At 46.3% G+C, this 21,356-nt stretch overlaps 1 protein-coding gene across 48 annotated transcripts in view, besides 1 other annotated feature; it reads right to left on the bottom strand.

Annotated features, from left to right (window-relative positions):
- JAKMIP3 (Janus kinase and microtubule interacting protein 3) overlaps positions 1-21,356 on the bottom strand; it is a 148,495-nt gene that overhangs the window by 82,213 nt on the left and 44,926 nt on the right. The gene's annotated exons all lie outside the window — the stretch shown is intronic.
- Positions 17,288-17,457: an enhancer, noted in NCBI's record as "experimental_11227 CRE fragment used in MPRA reporter constructs". NCBI's record gives its function as "activates a minimal promoter by MPRAs in K562 erythroleukemia cells, with activity observed for both the introgressed and non-introgressed 10:133898778 variant alleles {active_cell/tissue: K562}" and the evidence as "EXISTENCE:reporter gene assay evidence [ECO:0000049][PMID:34662402]".

Below are 21,356 nucleotides of genomic sequence, written 5' to 3'. Positions count from 1 at the left end.
GTGACCCGTCACCTGGGAGGCGATGCAGACACCCAGGAACCACGAGGAGCCTGCGGGGCTGACAGGTGAACTGGGAAGAGGCTGGGCACGTCTCACCCTGCAGGGCCGCCGGCCTCCACCTGGATGGGGAGAAGGGCCCGGCAGGGTGGATGTCAGCTCTGCACGTGTGAGACGGGGACTGGAGGGACCAGGCTCGGGCAGATGGCAAAGCTGGGAGCTGTCATGGGGTACAGAGGGAGGAAGGTGCCCTCAGGATGCCACTGCAGACGGAGGGGCTGGACCCATGGACGGGGCTGAGGCTGCACCCAGGTTGTCCCGCGGACGTCATCAGAGGCATCTTCATTTACAAAGGAGAGGGTGCTCGCCGGGCCCGGCGCACTGCCTGTCTCCCCTTTCCAGCTCCATCCTGAGGACAAAACCCTAGGCAGCTTGGGAAAGGCCTGAGAAGTATGCAAGAAGAAGGGCCTGAGGAGGAAAGGGGGCTCGGCTGGCCTTGCTGCTGGAGAATGAGAGGACATTGGGTGGGCACAGACTCCTAGAGATGGGACAGGAGGTTCTGCAGGTGCTTTGCTGTCTCTTGATAACAAGCTGCTCTAAGGGGAGACACCAGCTGACACTTGAGCGACTTTTAGTGACTCCTGGTCCCAACCACATGAGCGTCGGGTGGGCTCCTGCGGGCTCCAGAACTGTGGGCCCACCTCCCACAGTCCTCCCTGGGGACCCATGAAGGGGACTCTCCAGGGGGATGAAGAACCCACTGGGGAAGGGCCAGGTCCTGTCCTGTGCCCTCGGGTTCTCTACCACCACAGGTGACTGCTCTGGTAAACTTCCCACCTCCACACAAGGGTGTTCTTTCCCACTTCCAATAACACGTTCCCACCTCCATTCAAGTCCTCATAGACAGCCCCCGAGACACAGGGCTCCAGCTTCCTTCCAGCGGCACCCCAGGACCGAGCCCCGGGCCACCACTGCCCTCTCCTGGCTGCCGCACCACTCTCTGTGCAGTGCTCACTGATGGCGGCAGAAACTCATTCCCATCTGGCTGTCATAGGGCATTGAGCATTTGAGGAAAAGGGAAAATAAAATCTGGCTGCCGAGACAGTTGTCGTTCCCATAGTTTTGCTATTTAAAATAGATGAAGCAGTTTTTTGAAAGAGAATCTGTTTTAAAGGGTCATGGTTGCTAATACACAATGGTCAACATTTAGACCCATCCCAGGAGCTAATTTCTAATTAACCCACTGTTCGTAGCATTTAGTTAATTTTGTTTCGGGGAGACTTCAGTGGTGGGGTTGGGGGGTCGGTCCTTGCTCTGTCGCCCAGGCTGGAGAGCAGCGGGGCAATCACAGCTCACTGTAGCCTCGACTTCCTGGGCTCAAGCAATCCTCCCACCTCAGCCTCCCATGTATGGATTTCCACTTTGGAGGAGGGAAAGTATAGAAAGCTAAAACCTTGTCTACATTGCAGAAAAAGCTCCCCAGACTGGCCTCCCTCCTCCCGTCCCAGGCCTGGGAGTGCCCAGCTCCTCCGAACAGATTCAAGTCCACTCTGGGTCCCGCACTGGCCACCCTGGTCTGAGAGCTTTCACTGGCATCTCCCTAGAGGCAGAGTTGATATTTTTCTCCAGCACCAATCTGGGAACTGATACGGTAACTATATTGAGTTTATTCCTTATGAAAACGAGCAGGGATGGTGTGAATCTCCCCCAAGTGGCAAGGCTCAGGCACCCAGCTGGGGTCTGCGGCAAGCTCTTCCTTCCCGCCCAGGAGCACAGCTGGGGTTCCTCATGCAGAGAGAACGGGGAGCGCGGCAGGGGTTCCTCATGCAGAGAGAATGGGGAGCGCGGCCGGGGTTCCTCATGCCGAGAGAAAGGGGCTTTCAAGTCTCGCCTCGCATCCTAAAATGAAATGATGTTGGGGCGGCTGGGAGGCTCCGCACCTCGGATGATCACAGCTTTGGTAAATGGAGGCATCTCCTTTCCCCACAAGGACACTGCTGCTGTTGGCAGGTGACGGAGCTCATAGCTGCTGGGGGGGCGTGGCCTGCGCTCCGGCCCTGGGGGTGGCTGCTAGGTTTCATGAGCTTTTCTGCTCACCCCCCAACCCTCGTAAGGAACCAGGGTGCAGAGAATCATCCAGTCTCAAGGGTGTGTGAGGCTGTTCTGGTCAATACGTCTTCTCGTGGCCTTCCTGACACCCTCCTGGGAGGCAGACGGGGCGACTGGAGAGAGACCCAAAGGCTGCGGGAGTGGGAGATCTCAGCTGGTGGTGGCCCAGACACCCCCACCTTGGGTGTGGCATGGGCTTCAGCCATGCGGGAGGTCCAGCCGGCTCATGCCAAGGGCTCGGCCCCACGTGGCACACTCTGCACTGAGTCCCAGACCATGGCGTTCCTGGCTCGAGGAGACCCACAGTTCTCCAACGGGGTGGGAGCGGGTCTGAGGGACCTGTGTGGGGGTCTGTGCGGGGGGTCCGTGTGGGGGCCTGTGAGGGCAGCACACTGTGGGACACCCACTGGGCAGAGTCTGGTCACAGCTGCATCTGCCCTGGGGAGCCTGGATCAGCCCGGGGGCAGGAGCCAGGGTGGGTGCAAGCTCAGAGCAGACACCCCCTACAGCACTGTGCCAGCCCCTCACCACGATAGGATCACAGGAGGGCTGGGACCGGGGCTGTCCCTTCACCGGGAATCACAGCAACGCAGCGTGAATCTCAGATGCAGACGAGCCCTCCAGACACTGTGGACTCTGCTCAAGACCACCATCACCAGGGTGAGCACGGGAGCTGCAGACGGACAGCGTGGCAGTGCGAGGGGTTTGGGGTGCCGAGGAACGTGCCGTCCGTGACACGCACCTGAGCCACAAGGCACAGGGCAGGCGGTGCCCAGGGGACTGGCCTGATGAGGACTTGTGAATGTACCCATGAGTTGATTCATTGACACAATCAGGACATGCATTAAAGCACTTGGCGTCTTACACACATGCTGAGTTGCATTTGACCAGGAAAAATAAGGGTCCTGAGCCTGTTAGTCGGGGAAAACCCACAGCATATGCAAGAGAGGTTGAGTTTGCACCAGGGCCTCCCCAAACCCCCGTAGACAGAGTGCTTCCTCTGCTGCACAGGGTTCCCCAGTGGGCTTCGCGGTCAGTTTCAGACCGGGACTGCACCTTCATACTTTCCTTAGGGAAGTCGTTAAATTAACAGTGCAGATTGCCTATCTTTTATTTCGGGGTCTCTGAGGAGGTAATAAAACAACTTATTTCCCAGTCATCATCTGAAGGCTGAAGAAGTGCTTTGGGTTGACCTCTGGTAAAGTCGTTTTATGGCAGGAGGTTTCTGTGTGGAAGACAAAGCTTTACAGCTGATGGATGTCTTTCCACCGCCGGTGAATCACCACAGTGAACCTCAGTGTCGCTGACGAGGAGGCTGGCCCCCTTAGAGCTTTGCTCCACTCTGTCCCTGTCGGGCTGTTTACTCAGTGTTGAGCCTCTGGATTTGGGCTTCAATACCACCACGCGATGCAGAGGACACCGAGAAGTCAATCAGACCTGTCCACACCCGAGCAGCCTTCAGAGCCACCTCCTGTGATTCGGGGGCATCCTGGGGTGGGACGGTCCATGTCTCTGCAGCTCCTGTGACCTCACCAGGCTGTAAACATTTGACTTGCATTCTTTCTGGGCTAAATTGTTTACCTACAGAGAAGTCCAAGGTTCGGGTCCCAAACCCAGGTGAGTGTAAGAACACCCTGAGGAGGCTTACTGAGTATGGCCTGTCTCTCCAGGAGGAAGGAGGACCCAGGACTTCACCCCCGGCTCCTGATCACGAGACCAGTGTCGTAAATCCAGCTCTGAGAGAGGAGCGCTGTGGTAAAGAGCCCCCTCCTCACTGCAAATGCCCCTGGTGTGGCCAGAGGTCACGGTAAAGACCAGGCCCAGGATGGGAGAAGCCCGGTGGAGGTGCTGGGGGCTCTGGCAGCCACTCAGCACCCAGGAGAAGAGCAACGCCACTAAGCTGGCCTCACAGTGATACCTAGAAGGGCTCTTAAGGGACGTCCGCACTCTGATCTGCAGTGGCCACTGCGATGGACGCTAAAGATGCTTCAAGATGGACAAGAGACCATTTCATCCCACAACAACCCACACAGCCCTCAGGAAGTGCCATGAGTGACTTTCTGAAAAGCAGCTTGGGATCATCCACAAAATCTCTGCACTGACTTCAACACATTCACATTTTGATCGATAAATGTTAAGACGGTGACAGTGAGCCATCAGTCCTCATCTCCAGAACTGAATCTAGCACATTTCACTTTGTACTGAAAGGCGATCTTGGCTGGGCACAGTGGCTGAGGCCTGTAATCCCAGCACCTTAAGAGGCTAAGGTGGGAGGATCACTTGAACCCAGGAGTCTGAGACCAGCCTGGGCAACAGAGGGAGACCCCATCTCTGCAACAAATAAATTAACCAGGTGGGCACCTGTGGTCCCAGCTCCCTGGGAGGCTGAGGCGGGAGGATCGCTTGGGGCTGGGAGGTCAAGGCCACAGTGAGCTGTGATCATGTCACTGCACTCCCACCTGGACAACAGAGGAAGACCTTGTCTCAAAAAAAGAAAGAGAAAAGAAAAAGAAGAAAGAAAAAAAAAAGGAAGGAGGGGAAGGGGAAGGGGAAGGGGAAGGGGAGAAAAGGAAGGAAAGGGAAAGGGGATGGGAAAGGGAAAGGGGAAGGGGAAGGAAAGGGGAAGGGGAAGGGGAAGGGGAAGGGGAAGGGAAGAAAATAAAAGGAAGGAAGGAAGGAAGGGCAATCTCTGTGATAGGAAGCTTAGGTTCTGAATCACCTGCAAATGCATTAAAATTCTAAATTTTCACTGAAGTGCCATGACTTTTTCTTAAAAAAAAAAAAAAAACTTTTAGTTTGAGATAATTGTAGACCCACATGCAGTTGTAAGACAGAATATACAGATGCCGCACATCCCCTTTCCCTATTTCCCCCAATGAGAACATCTTGGAAAACAGCGGGACAGTATCACAGCCAGGGGACAAAGGTTGGGAACACTCCTGTCCCTACAAGGGTCCCTGTTATTGTCACATTCACTTCCCTCCTACCCTGCCCCCTCTGTAACCATGGGAAGCCACGATCTGCTCCCCAACTACATAATTTTGCCATTTCAGAAATGTTATAGAAATGAAGTCATACAGTAGGCGACCTCCCGAGAGTCCGTGTGATGCTTGGAGGGCCACGCAGGTTACCATGGGCACCCACAGCTCAACCTTCTCACTGCTGGGTGGTGACCCACAGTTCACCCCTTCTCACCGCGGAGTGGCCCACGGTTCACCCTTCTCGCCGCAGAGTGACCCACGGTGTGGCTGCACCACTGTATCTTTCGCCACTCGCCCACTGGAGGATACCTGGCGCTGAACCATTTCCGGGCTCTACAGCAGCTGGATGTTTATTGCCCAGCTGGTCTCCAGAGGGGCCTTGCCTCCCACCAGCCGTGTATGAGGGACCCAGGTTCCCGACACCTTTGCCTGTATTTGGTGGTGGTGCCATTTCTAACGTTGCCGTTCTCCTAGGTGAGCTCACAGGCCCTATGGCTTCTGTCTGCATTTCCCTAGCACCTCGCCGTGGCGTCTCTCCTGTGTGCCTTGGCCATCTGCACATCCATGTCGGGAAATGTCTGCTGTGAGGCTGCTGCCTAACTGGTTCTGTGGCTGGAGGAAGCAGGCTCTTCTTGGGGATGGTTTGTCTGAGCCAGTTGGCTCTGGGTTGCTGGATTCTTCAGCTCTGTGTCTGGGACATCCCAGGCAAAAAGAAAACCCAGGGACCCTGCCATGGCGTCATTCCTGGGGTCTGAGGTCCCTGGCCGGCCGCTTTCTCCAGCCTGCCTTTCAGAGTCTTCTTACACTGGTTTCTTATTTCATGTCCAGGGTTTTGATTGTACTAATGGGGGAGCAGGGAAAAGTATGTCCCCTCCATCTATCCAGAGGCAGAAGGCTGGCCACAACTTAAAAAAGAAAAAAAAAATCACGGCCAGGTCCAAAGCCACAACTTTTTCATCAAGGAAAAAAATCTTGCACCTGTATTTACCATTATCATTTCAGTTACACAACAAGTGTGATTTAAAATTTGCGAGTGCACTTCCTGGGGTGGAAGTCAGATATTACACTAACCAAGTACAGTAACCACCACCCCGTGTTAAGGAAACAGCCGTCGGCTCCAGGGCTCAAGGGCATGGCCATCTTCAAAGGAGACACATGTTGTATGAGTCACTCTCCGGTGGTTTTCAGTCTGCCTGGGTTACTACTGGCAGGAAGGCTTAGGTCACATTAATAACTAGAAGTCCCTTTTGAGATATAAGAATTGGCAGCAACGATCACTCTATAAAATAAACCACTGAGCATGTTATGTTTTCCAAGTGGTAGTACCAGTGTTTTAAAAATATCAGAACTAAAAACAAAATTGTGCATGATTTACACACAGCTTAGCTTCTGCCCAGACCAATTGTCTACTGCTCCCAATGTAAAAAGGGAGGTTTCTGGCACAGGAAGAAATGTCAGGATCACCTGGCCAGATCCCCCAGCTCTTCAGGTGAGGAAACCAGGATCCAGAGGAAGACCCCCCCAAGACCACAGCACCTGCTTCCCAAGAGAGCTGGATCCCTCCTGCTCTCCCTAACAGCAGCATGGGACAGTATGCCGGCGGATTCTACCATGGGTGGAAGCCTGAGCTGTAATACTCAGGGCATTGGGCAGAGCACCCAGACAGGCACTGTCTCTGTGGTGGGCCACTCCTGCCCCAATCTTGAAGGCAAGCCTCACAGAGAATGCTCTTCCCAAACAACTCAGCAGTGTCCCAGAACAAAGCTCAAAAACACCTATCAGGAATAGTAAACACCCAGGAGGAGGATCATGGTGGATGGGACTAGATTGCAGGCAGAACCAGATTGCAGTTCCCACTCAGATGGAGAAAAAGTGTGTGGAGTCTCGTGTCGTGAACTTCTGCATCCAGAACGACTGCAGGAATAAATCGGGAAAGCCGAGAGAACCCCCAGACCCTCTGAAGGTAGCAGATTGCTCCTGCAGGACCTGGGAGACACCCCAAATACTGTGAGTGCCCAAGCTATGGAAGTGGGAAAGGAGGACCGTTCACCCCCAAACACACACCCCCACTGCAGAACCTGAAGGTCTAGATCACGGGAGAAGATTCTGAGCTCACCTGGAGCTGAGTCGAGCGAAATACAGGGGCGGAGGAAGCAGTGGGAAAAGCCCTGTGGGCTCTCTTGGTTCCCTAGGAAGCCATCTCTGCCTTACCTCAGAGGGGTCCTTTGGAAGGGCAGCCAGAGGCACTGGGGAAAGGCCACAGGGAGAAGGAAACCTCCAGCTGAACTTTGTAACAATTCCAACCTAAGGAGAAGCCTCCTGGCCAGAACTTGGGGGAGGGTGTGAATCCAGTGACAGACTCCACAGGTAGAGGAAGAATGAAAGCCCCATTTTCACAGCTGGGAGGCAGGTAGCCTGGGGCACGTTCTCAACCCTGCTGGCCCACTGCCTGGAAGCAGACTCAAGGCTGCTGTGGGGGACACAGTGGGAGTGAGACCAGCCCTTCAATTTGTGTGGGAGCTGGGTGAGGCCTGTGCTGCTGGCTTTTCCCCACTTCCTTGACAACCTGCATGACTCAGCAGAGGCAGCCATAATTCTCGTAGGTACACAACTCCATTAACCTGCGAATCTCACCCCCATGCCCCACAGCAGCCACAGCAAGACCCGCCCAAGAGAGTCTGAGCTCAGACACTGGCCCCGCCCCCACCTGATGGTCCTTCCCCATCCAGCCTGGTAGCTGAAGACAAAAGGCATATACTCTTAGGAGTTCCAGGGCCCCACTCACCGCGGGTTCCTCTCTATGCTCCCACAGCAGATGCTCTCTGGAAAGCTCCACCTCCCAGCAGGAGGCCAACCGGCACAAAAATACAGCATTAGACCACCAAAGCTAAGTGCATTGCACCCCCTGCCACCTCCACCGGAACAGGTGCTGGTGTCCATGTCCAAGAGGCCCACAGACAGCTCTCTGGGCAGACAACCCCCAGTACCAGCCCAGAGCCTGGTAGACTTGCTGGGTGGCTGGACCCAGAAGAGAGATAACAATCACTACAGCCCACCTCTCTGGAAGCCACATCCATAGGAAAAGGAGCAGAGCCCTACATCAAGGGAACACCCCATGGGACAAAAGAATCTGAGCAACAGCCCTCAGCCCTAAACTTTCCCTCTGACAGAGCCTACCCAAATGAGAGGGAACCAGAAAACCAACTCTGGTAATATGACAAAACAAGGCTCTTTAACACCCCAAAAAAATCACACTAGCTCACCAACGATGGATCCAAACCAAGCAGAAATCCCTGACTTACCTAAAAAAGAATTCAGAAGGTCAGTTATTAAGTTAACCAAGGAGGCACCAGAGAAAGGCAAAGCCCAATTTAAGGAAATAAAAAAAAGTGATACAAGTCAGGAGTTCAAGACCAGCCTGGGCAACATGGTGAACCTACTAAAAATATAAAAATTAGCCGGGCATGGTGGTGTGAGCCTGTAGTCCCAGCAACTTGGGAGGCTGAGGCAAGAGAATTGCTTGAACCTGGGAGGCAGAGGTTGCAGTGAGCTGAGATCACACCACTGCACTCCAGCAGCCTGGGTGACAGAGTAAGACTCCATCTCAAAAAAAAAAAAAAAAAAAAATAGATACAAGAAATGAAGGGAGAAATACTCAGTGAAATCAAATAAAAAACAATCAAGAAGATGCTGAATAGGAACAGCTCCAGTCTACAGCTCCCAGGGTGAGTGACATAGAAGATGGGGGTGATTTCTGCATTTCCAACTGAGGTACTGGGTTCATCTCACTGGGGCTTGTCGGACAGTGGGGGCAGGACAGTGGGTGCAGCCCACCGAACGTGAGCCGAAGCAGGGCGAGGCATCACCTCACCCAGGAAGTGCAAGGGGTCAGGAATTCCCTTTCCTAGCCAAGGGAAGCGGTGATGGACAGCACCTGGAAAATTGGGTCACTCCTACCCTAATATTGTGCTCTTCCAACGGTCTTAGCAAATGGCACAATAGGAGATTATATCCCGTGCCTGGCTCAGAGGGTCCCACGCCCACGGAGCCTCGCTCATTGCTAGCACAGCAGTCTGAGATCTAACTGCAAGGTGGCAGCGAGGCTGGTGGAGGGGGCGCCCGCCATTGCTGAGGCTTGAGTAGGTAAACAAAGCTGCCAGGAAGAAGGCCTGCCTGCCTGCCTCTGTAGACTCCACCTCTGGGGGTAGGGCACAGCCGAACAAAAGGCAGCAGAAACCTCTGCAGACTTAAACGTCCCTGACAGCTTTGAAGTTAGTAGTGGTTCTCCCAGCATGGAGTTTGAAATCTGAGAATGGACAGACTGCCCCCTCAAGTGGGTCCCTGACCCCCGAGTAGCCTAACTGGGAGGCACCCCCCAGTAAGGGCAGACTGACACCTCACACGGCCGGGCACCCCTCTGAGATGAAGCTTCCAGAGGAATGATCAGGCAGCAATATTTGCTGTTCAGCAATATTAGCTGTTCTGCAGCCTCCACTGCTGACACCCAGGCAAACAGGGTCTGGAGTGGACCTCCAGAAAACTCCAACAGACCTGCAGCTGAGGGTCCTGACTGTTAGAAGGAAAACTAACAAACAGAAAGGACATCCACACCAAAAACCCCATCTGTACGTCACCATCAAAAAAGATCAAAGGTAGATAAAACCACAAAGATGGGGAAAAAACAGAGCAGAAAAGCTGGAAATTCTAAAAATCAGAGCGCCTCTCCCCCTCCAAAGGAATGCAGCTCCTCGCCAGCAATGGAACAAAGCTGGATAGAGAATGACTTTGATGAGTTGACAGAAGTAGGCTTCCGATGATCAAACTTCTCCGAGCTAAATGAGGAAGTTCAAACCCATCACAGAGAAGCTAAAAACCTTGAAAAAAAGATTAGACAAATGGCTAACTAGAATAACCAATGTAGAGAAGTCCTTAAATGACCTGATGGAGCTGAAAAACATGGCACGAGAACTACGTGACAAATGCACAAGCTTCAGTAGCCGATTCGATCAACTGGAAGAAAGGGTATCAGTGATTGAAGACCAAATGAATGAAATGAAGCAAGAAGAGAAGTTTAGAGAAAAAAGAGTAAAAAGAAATGAACGAAGCCTCCAAGAAATATGGGACTATGTGAAAAGACCAAATCAATGTCTGACTGATGTACCTGAAAGTGATGGGGAGAATGGAACCAAGTTGGAAAACACTCTGCAGGATATTATCCAGGAGAACTTCCCCAACCTAGCAAGGCAGGCCAACATTCAAATTCAGGAAATACAGAGAACACCACAAAGATACTCCTCAAGAAGAGCAACTCCAAGACACATAATTGTCAGATTCACCAAAGTTGAAATGAAGGAAAAAATGTTAAGGGCAGCCAGAGAGAAAGGTCGGGTTACCCACAAAGGGAAGCCCATCAGACTAACAGTGGATCTCTCGGCAGAAACTCTACAAGCCAGAAGAGAGTGGGGGCCAGTATTCAACATTCTTAAATAATTTTCAACCCAGAATTTCATATCCAGCCAAACTAAGCTTCATAAGTGAAGGAGAAATAAAATCCTTCACAGACAAGCAAATGCTGAGAGATTTTGTCACCACCAGGCCTGCCCTACAAGAGCTCCTGAAGGAAACACTAAACATGGAAAGGAACAACCAGTACCAGCCACTGCAGAAACATGCCAAATTGTAAAGACCATCGATGCTAGGAAGAAACTACATCAACTAACGAGCAAAATAACCAACTAACATCATAATGACAGGATCAAATTCACACATAACAATATTAATTTTAAATGTAAATGGGCTAAATGCTCCAATGAAAAGACACAGACTGGTAAATTGGATAAAGAGTCAAGACCCATCAGTGTGCTGTATTCAGGAAACCCATCTCACGTGCAGAGACACACATAGGCTCAAAATAAAGGGATGGAGGAAGATCTACCAAGCAAATGGAAAACAAAAAAAGCAGGGGTTGCAATCCTAGTCTCTGATAAAACAGACTTTAAACCAACAAAGATCAAAAGAGACAAAGAAGACCATTACATAATGGTAAAGGGATCAATTCAACAAGAAGAGCTAACTATCCTAAACATATATGCACCCAATACAGGAGCACCCAGATTCATAAAGCAACTCCTTAGAGACCTACAAAGAGACTTAGACTCCCACACAATAATAATGTTGACACCCCACTGTCAACATTAAACAGATCAACAAGACAGAAAGTTAACAAGGATACCCAGGAATTGAACTCAGCTCTGCACCAAGCAGACCTAATAGACATCTACAGAACTCTCCACCCCAAATCAACAGAATATACATTCTTCTCAGCACCACATCACACTTATTCCAAAACTGACCACATAGTTGGAAGTAAAGCACTCCTCAGCAAATACAAAAGAACAGAAATTATAACAAACTGTCTCTCAGACCACAGTGCAATCAAACTGGAACTCAGGATTAAGAAACTCACTCAAAACCACTCAACTACATGGAAACTGAACAACCCGCTCCTGAATGACTACTGGGTACATAACAAAATCAAGGCAGAAATAAAGATGTTCTTTGAAACCAATGAGAACAAAGACACAACATACCAGAATCTCTGGGACACATTTAAAGCAGTGTGTAGAGGGAAATTTATGGCACTAAATGCCCACAAGAAAAAGCAGGAAAGATCTAAAATTGCCACCCTAACATCACAATTAAAAGAACTATGGCACTAAATGCCCACAAGAAAAAGCAGGAAAGATCTAAAATTGCCACCCTAACATCACAATTAAAAGAACTAGAGAAGCAAGGGCAAACACATTCAAAAGCTATCAGAAGGCAAGAAATAACTAAGATCAGAGCAGAATTGAAGGAGATAGAGACAAAAACCCTTCAAAAACTCAATGAATCCAGGAGCTGGTTTTTTGAAAAGATCAACAAAATTGGTAGACTGCTAGCAAGACTGATAAAGAAGAAAAGAGAGAATCAAATAGATGCAATAAAAAATGATAAAGGGGTTATCACCACTGATCCCACAGAAATACAAACTACCATCAGAGAATACTATAAACACCTCTACGCAAATAAACTAGAAAATCTAGAAGAAACGGATGAATTCCTGGACACATACACCCTCCCAAGACTAAACCAGGAAGAAGTTGAATCTCTGAATAGACCAATAACAGGCTCTGAAATTGAGGCAATAATTAATAGCTTACCAACCAAAAAAAGTCCAAGACCAGATGGATTCACAGCCAAATTCTACCAGATGCAAAAGGAGGAGCTGGTACCATTCTTTCCGAAACTATTCCAATCAACAGAAAAAGAGGGAATCCTCCCTAACTCATTTTATGAGGCCAGCATCATCCTGATAACCAAAGCCTGGCAGAGACACAACCAAAAAAGAGAATTTTAGACCAATATCCCTGACGAACATTGATGCAAAAATCCTCAATCAAATACTGGCAAACTGAATCCAGCAGCACATCAAAAAGCTTATCCACCATGATCAAGTGGGCTTCATCCTTGGGATGCAAGGCTGGTTCAACACACACAAATCAATAAACGTAATCCAGCATATAAACAGAACCAAAGACAAAAACCACGTGGTTATCTCAATAGATGCAGAAAAGGCCTTTGACAAAATTCAACAGCCCTTCATGCTAAAAACTCTCAATAAATTAATTATTGATGGGACATATCTCAAAATAATAAGAGCTATTTATGACAAACCCACAGACAATATCATACTGAATGGGCAAAATCTGGAAGCATTCCCTTTGGAAACTGGCACAAGACAGGGATGCCCTCTCTCACCACTCCTATTCAACATAGTGTTGGAAGTTCTGGCCAGGGCAATCAGGCAGGAGAAAGAAATAAAGGGTATTCAATTAGGAAAAGAGGAAGTCAAATTGTCCCTGTTTGCAGATGACATCGTTGTATATTTAGAAAACCCCACTGTCTCAGCCCCAAATCTCCTTAAGCTGATAAGCAACTTCAGCAAAGTCTCAGGATAGAAAATCAATGTGCAAAAATCACAAGCATTCCTACACACCAATAACAGACAAACAGAGAGCCAAATCATGAGTGAACTCTCATTCACAATTGCTTCAAAGAGAATAAAATACCTAGGAATCCAACTTACAAGGGATGTGAAGGACCTCTTCAAGGAGAACTACAAACCACTGCTCAACAAAATAAAAGAGGACACATACAAATGGAAAAACATTCCATGCTCATGGATAGGAAGTATCAATATCGTGAAAATGGCCATACTGCCCAAGGTAATTTATAGATTCAATGCCATCCCCATCAAGCTACCAATGACTTTCTTCACAGAATTGGAAAAAACTACTTTAGAGTTCATATGGAACCAAAAAAGGGCCCGCATTGCCAAGACAACCCTAAACCAAAAGAACAAAGCTGGAGGCATCACACTACTTGACTTCAAACTATACTACAAGGCTAGAGTAACCAAAACAGCATGGTACTGGTACCAAAACAGAGATATAGACCAATGGAACAGAACAGAGCCCTCAGAAATAATACCACACATCTACAACCATCTGATCTTTGACAAACCTGACAAAAACAAGCAGTGGGGAAAGGATTCCCTATTTAATAAATGGTGCTGGGAGAACTGGCTAGCCATATGTGGAAAGCTGAAACTGGATCCCTTTCTTACACCTTATACAAAAATTAATTCAAGATGGATTAAAGACTTAAATGTTAGACCTAAACCCACAAAAACCCTAGAAGAAAACCTAGGCAATACCATTCAGGACATAGGCATGGGCAAGGACTTCATGTCTAAAACACCAAAAGCAATGGGAACAAAAGCCAAAATTGACAAATGGGATCTAATTAAACTAAAGAGCTTCTGCACAGCAAAAGAAACTACCATCAGAGTGAACTGGCAACCCACAGAATGGGAGAAAATTTTTGCAATCTACTCATCTGACAAAGGGCTAATATTCAGAATCTACAAAGAACTCAAACAAATTTACAAGAAAAAAACAAACAACCCCATCACAAAGTGGGTGAAGGATATGAACAGACACTTCTCAAAAGAAGACATTTATCAGCCAACAGACACATGAAAAAATGCTCATCATCACTGGCCATCAGAGAAATGCAAATCAAAACCACAGTGAGATACCATCTCACACCAGTTAGAATGGCAATCATTAAAAAGTCAGGAAACAACAGGTGCTGGAGAGGATGTGGAGAAATAGGAACAGTTTTACACTGTTGGTGGGACTGTAAAGTAGTTCAACCACTGTGGAAATCAGAGTGGCGATTCCTCAGGGATCTAGAACTAGAAATACCATTTGACCCAGCCATCCCATTACTGGGTATATACCCAAAGGATTATAAATCATGCTGCTATAAAGACACATGCACACATATGTTTACTGCGGCACTATTCACAATAGCAAAGACTTGGAACCAACCCAAATGTCCATCAATGATAGACTGGATTAAGAAAATGTGGCACATATACACCATGGAATACTATGCAGCCATAAAAAAGGATGAGTTCATGTCCTTCGTAGGGACATGGATGAAGCTGGAAACCATCATTCTCAGCAAATTATCACAAGGACAAAAAACTAAACACTGCATGTTCTCACTCATAGGTGGGAATTGAACAATGAGAACACATGGACACAGGAAGGGGAACATCACACACCGGGGCCTGTCATGGGGTGCGGGGAGTGGGGAGGGATAGCATTAGGAGATATACCTAATGTAAATGACGAGTTAATGGGTGCAGCACACCAACATGGTGCATGTATACATATGTAACTAACCTGCACGTTGTGCACATGAACCCTAGAACTTAAAGTATAAAAAAAAAAAAATCAAGACTTCAGGAAACAATGGACACACTTATGGAAATGCAAAACGCTCTGGAAAGTCTCAGCAATAGAATCAAACAAGCAGAAGAAAGAACTTCAGAGCCTGAAGATAAGGTTTTCGAGTTAACCCAATCCAACAAAGAAAGAAAAAAGAACAAGAAAATATGAACAAAGCCTCCAAGAAGTCTGGGATTATGTTAAATGACCAAACCTAAGAATAATTGGCATTTTTGAAGAAGAGAAATCTAAAAGTCTGTAAAACATATTTGGGGGAACAATCAAGAAAAACTTCCCCAGCCTTGCTAGAGACCTAGACATCCAGATACAAGAAGCTCAAAGAACACCTGGGAAATTCATCCCCAAAAGATCATCGCCTAGGCACATTGTCATCAGGTTATCTAAAGTTAAGACAGAGAAAAGAATCTTAAGAGCTATGAGGCAAAAGCACCAGGTAACCTATAAAGGAAAACCTATCAGATTAACAGCAGATTTCTCAGCAGAAACCGTACAAGCTAGAATGGATTGGTGCCCTATCTTCAGCCTCCTTAAGCAAAATGATTACAAGCCAACTCTTTTGTATCCAGTAAAACTAAGCTTCATAAATGAAAGAAACATACAGTCTTTTCCAGACAAATGCTGAGAGAATTTGCCACTACCAAGCCAGCACTACAAGAACTGCTAAAGGGAGCTCTAAATCTTGAAACAAATCCTGGAAAGACATCAAAACAGAACCTCTTAAAAGCATAATCTCACAGGACCTATAAAACAAAAATACAATTAAACAAAAAGCCAAGCTATACAGGCAACAAATAGGATGATGAATGAAACAGCACCTCGCATCTCAATACTAATGTTGAATGTAAATGGCCTAAAGCCTCCACTTAAAAGATACAGAATTGCAGAATGGGTAAGAATTCACCAACCAAGTATCTGCTGCTTTCAAGAGATCCACCTAACACATAAGGACTCACATAAACTTAAGGTAAAGGGGTGGAAAAAGACATTTCATGGAAATGGACACCAAAAGGGAGCAGGAGTAGCTATTCTTATATCAGACAAAACAAACTTTAAAGCAATAGCAATTAAAAAGGCAAAGAGGGACATTATATAATGATAAAAGGCCTTGTCCAACAGGAAAATATCACAACCCTAATTATATATGCACCTAACACTGGAGCTCTCAAATTTATAAGACAATTACTACTAGACCTAAAAAAAGAAATAGACAGCAACACAATAATAGTGGGGAACTTCAGTACTCCACTGACGGCACTAGACAGGTCATCAAGACAGAAAGTCAACAAAGAAACAATGGATTTAAACTATACCCTGGAACAAATGGACTTAATGGATATTTACAGAACATTCTACCCAACGACTGCAGAATATATTCTATTTAACAGCATATGGAACTTTCTCCAAGATAGACCATATGATAGGCCACAAAACAAGCCTCAATAAATTTAAGAAAACTGAAATTATACTAAGCACTCTCTCAGACCACAGTGAAATAAAACTGGAAATCAACTCCAAAAGGAATCTTCAAAACCACACAAATACATGGAAATTAAATAACCTGCTCCTGAATGATCACCGGGTCAACAATGAAATCAAGATGAAAATTTAAAAATTCTTCGAACTGAACAACAGTGATCTATAAAAACCTCTGGGATACAGCAAAGGCAGTGCTAAGAGGAAAGTTCATAGCCCTAAACACCTACATCAAAAAATCTGCAAGAGCACAAACAATCTAAGGTCACACCTCAAGAAGCTAGCAAAACAAGAACAAACCAAACCCAAACCCAGCAGAAGAAAGGAAATAACCAAGATCAGTGCAGAACTAAATGAAATTGAAACAAAAAATATATACAAAAGATAAATGAAACGAAAAGCTGGTTCTTTGAAAAAGAAATAAGGCCAGGTGCAGTGGCTCACGCCTGTAATCCCAGCACTTTGGGAGGCCGAGGTGGGTGGATCACGAGGTCAGGAGTTCGAGACCAGCCTGGCCAATATGGTGAAACCCCATCTCTACTAAAAATACAAAAATTAGCCAGGCATGGTGGCATGCGCTGGTAGTCCCAGCTACTCGGGAGGCTGAGGCAGAAGAATCGCTTGAACCCAGGAAGCGGAGGTTGCAGTGAGCCAAGATCGCACCACTGCACTCCAGCCTGGGTGACAGAGCAAGACTTCCTCTCACAAAAAAAAAAAAAGAGAGAGAAAATTGATAGACCATTAGTAAGATTAACCAAGAAAAGAAGAGAGGAAATCCAAATAAGCTCAATTAAAAATGAAATGGAAGATATTACAATTGACATCACAGAAATACAAAAGATCATTCAAGGCTACTAAAAACATCCTTACACGTATAAACTAGAAAACCTAGCGGAGATGGATAAATTCCTGGAAAGATACAACCCTCCTTCTTAAATCAGGAAGAACCAGATACTCTGAACAGACCAATAACAGGCAGCGAGACTGAAATGGTAATAAAAGAATTACCAACCAAAAAAATCCAGGACCAGATGGATTCACAGCTGAATTCTACCAGACATTCAAAGAATTGGTACCAATCCTATTGACACTATTCCACAAAATAGAGAAAGAGAGAATCCTCTCTAAATCATTCTATGAAGCCAGTATCACCCTAACACCAAAACAAGGAAAGGACATAACTAAAAAAGAAAACTAGACCAATATCCTTGATGAACATAGATGCTAAAATCCTTAACAAAATACTAGCTAACCGAATCCAACAACATATCGAAAAGATAGTCCACCATGATCAAGTAAGTTTCAAACCAGGAATGCAGGGGTGGTTTAACATATGCAGGTCAATAAATGTGATACAATACATAAACAGAATTAAAAACAAAAATCACATGATCATCTTAATAGATGCAGAAAAAGCATTAGACAAAATCTAGCATCCCTTTATAATTAAAACTCTCAGCAAGATTGGCATACAAGGGACATAACTCAATGTATTAAAAGCCATCTATGACAAACCCATAGCCAACATCAGACTGAATGGGAAAAAGCTGAAAGCATTCCCTCTGAGAACTGGAACAAGACAAGGATACCCACTGTCACCACTTCTCTTCAACATAGTACTGGAAGTCCCAGCCAGAGCACTTCTCAACATAGTACTGGAAGTCCCAGCCAGAGCAATCAGACAAGGGAAAGAAATAAAGGGCATACAAATCCATAAAGAGGAAGTCGAATTGTCACTGTTTGCTGATGATATGATTGTATACCTAGAGAACCCTAAAGACTCCTCCAAAAAGCTCCTAGAACTGATAAAATAATTCAACAAAGTTTCCGGATACAAAATTAATGTACACAAATCAGTAGCTCTCCTATACACCAACAGCAACTAAGCTGAGAATCAAATCAAGAACCCAACCCCTTTTACAATAGCTGCAAAAGAAATAAAATACTTAGGAATACACCTAACCAAGGAGGTGAAAGACCTCTACAAGGAAAACTATAAAACACTGCTGAAAGAAATCATAGATAACACAAACGAGTGGAAACACAAACATTCTACCCATGGATGGGTAGAATCAATATTGTAAACATGCCCATACTGCCAAAAGCAATCTACAAATTCAATGCAATTCCCATCAAAATACCACCATCATTCTTCACAGAACTAGAAAAAACAATCCTAAAATTCACATGGAATCAAAAAAGAGCCCACATAGCCAAAAGCAAAACTAAGCAAAAAGAACAAATCTGGAAGAATCACATTACCTGATTTCAAACTATACTATAAGGCCATAGTCACCAAAACAGCGTGGTACTGGCATAAAAACAGGCACATAGACCAATGGAACAGAATAGAGAACTTTGGGTTCAAATAAACCCAAATACTCACAGCCAACTGATCTTTGACAAAACAAACAAAAACAAAGTGGAGAAAGGACACCCTTTTAACAAATGGTGCTGGGATACCTGGCTAACCACATATAGGAGAATGAAACTAGATCCTCATCTCTTACCCTATACAAAGATCAACTCAAGATGGATTAAGGACTTAAATCTAAGACCTGAAACTATAAAAATTCTAGAAGATAACATCAGAAAAACTCTTCTAGACGTTGGCTTAGGCAAGAATTTCATGACCAAGAACCCAAAAGCAAATGCAATGAAAACAAAGATAAATAGCTGTGACTTAATTAAACTAAAGAGCTTTTGCATAGCAAAAGGAACAGTCAGTAGAGTGAAGAGACAACCCAGAGAATGGGAGAAAAATCTTCAGTATCTATACATCTGACAAAGGACTAATATTAAGAATCTACAATGAGCTCAAACAAATTAGCAAGAAAAAAACGAACCCATCAAAGAGTGGGCTAAGAACATGAATAGACAATTCTCGAAAGAAGATATACAAATGGCCAACAAACATATGAAAAATGCTCAACATCACTAATGATCAGGGAAATGCAAATCAAAACCACAATGCAATACCACCTCACTTCTGCAAGAATAGCCATAATCAAAAAATCAAAAAAAAGAATAGATGTTGGCATGGATACAGTAAACAGGGAACACTTCTGCATTGCTGGTGGGAATGTAAACTAGTACAGCCACTATGGAAAACAGTGTGAAGATTCCTTAAAGAACTAGATCTACCATTTGATCCGGCAATCCCACTACTGGGTATCTACCCAGAGGAAAAGAAGTCATTATAGGAAAAAGATACTTGCACATGCACGTTTATAGCAGCACAATTCACAATTGCAAAAATGTGGAACCAACCCAAATGCCCATCAATCAACAAGTGAATAAAGAAACTGTGGTATAGGCCGGGCGCGGTGGTTCACGCCTGTATTCCCGCACTTTGGGCGGCCAAGGCGGGCGGATCACGAGGTCAAGAGATCGAGACCATCCTGGCCAACATGGTGAAACTCTGTCTCTATTAAAAATATAAAAATTAGCCGGGCATGGTGGCAGGCGCCTGTAGTCCCAGCTACTCGGGAGGCTGAGGCAGGAGAATCGCTTGAACCTGGGAGGCGGAGGTTGCAGTGAGCCTAGATTGCACCATTGCACTCCAGCCTGGGCGACAGAGTGAGACACTGTCTCAAAAAAAAAAAGAAAGAAACTGTGGTGTATATATACACAATGGAATACTACTCAGCCATAAAAAGGAATGAATTAATGGCATTCGCAGCAACCTGGAGGAGACTGTAGATTATTATTCCAAATGAAGTAACTTGGGAATGGAAAACCAAACATCATATGCTCTCACTCGTAGGTGGGAGCTAAGCTACAAGGAGGCAAAGGCATAAGAATGACACAATGGACTTTGGGGACTCGGGGAAAGGGTGGGAAGAGGGTGAGGGATAAAAGACTACAAATTGGGTGCAGTGTATACTGCTTGAGTGACGGGTGCACCAAAATCTCACAAATCACCGCTAAACAATTTACCCATGTAACCGAACACCACCTGTTCCCCAATAACCTATGGAAATAAAAAATTTAAAAAATAATAATTTGAAAATTATTAAAAGGGAAGCAAAAAAAAATTCAGCCCCCCCCCCCAAACAAACAATGCCCAATGTCTGGCATCTAATCAAGAATTACCAGGTTGGGTTTGGTCAATGGGAAGCAAAATAATAAAAATTAAATTTAAAAAATTGCCAAGCATGCAATGAGCAGAGACCTGGGACTCACAATGAGGAGGGTAAAGCCGACCCACAGAGACAAACGCAGACATGACACAGATGACAGAATTCGTAGGCAGGGACAGGAAAACAGTCAGCATAAATAAAATCCCTATGTGCACGAAAGCAGAGGAAGACAGTGGCCGGTTAAGAAGAGACATGGAGATTTAAAAAGACCCAAATCAATGAGGCCGATGAGGGCTGCTCTGTAGGGAAGCGACGTGTGGTTCTCTGTGCACTGCTGCTCCCGTGCCTCAGGAAAGGATCACGTCTCCCCCCAAGACTCCTCGGAAAGGCCAGTTGGCTCAGCAGAACCACAAACCCAAGCAGAGGGGCTGGCTCATCTCTGCAGCTTGACCTGTGCTGTACATAAAAGAACAGGAGGACAAGAATAACGGAGGCAACCGTGACGATGAAGGCAGAACCGGAGGCCTCGCACTACCCATCTCCAGACCTCTCCAAGGGCACCTTAGTAAAGATGCGGGCACTGGGATAAGAACAGACAAGACTCAGGATTCACTCCAGAGCTCAGGAGCCGACCAGCATGTGAGCAGTCGCTGGTCTGTGATGCAGGCAACACTGTGAGGCACTGGGCAAAGGCAGTCTTTTTTCTCAATAGTGCTGAGTTAACTGGACATTCACACAGAAAAATATAGCTTGCTCCTACCATAGACAAAAAATCATTTTCCAATGGATTGCAGATAACAATGTGAAAGGTAAAACAATAATCTTATAGAAGCAAACATAGGAGAAATAAA

This window comes from Homo sapiens, chromosome 10, assembly GCF_000001405.40.
Source record: "Homo sapiens chromosome 10, GRCh38.p14 Primary Assembly".
Taxonomy (NCBI): Eukaryota; Metazoa; Chordata; class Mammalia; order Primates; family Hominidae; genus Homo; species Homo sapiens.
The sequence above is the reverse complement of the archived record's forward strand: the minus strand, read 5'-3'. Positions and strand labels throughout refer to the sequence as shown.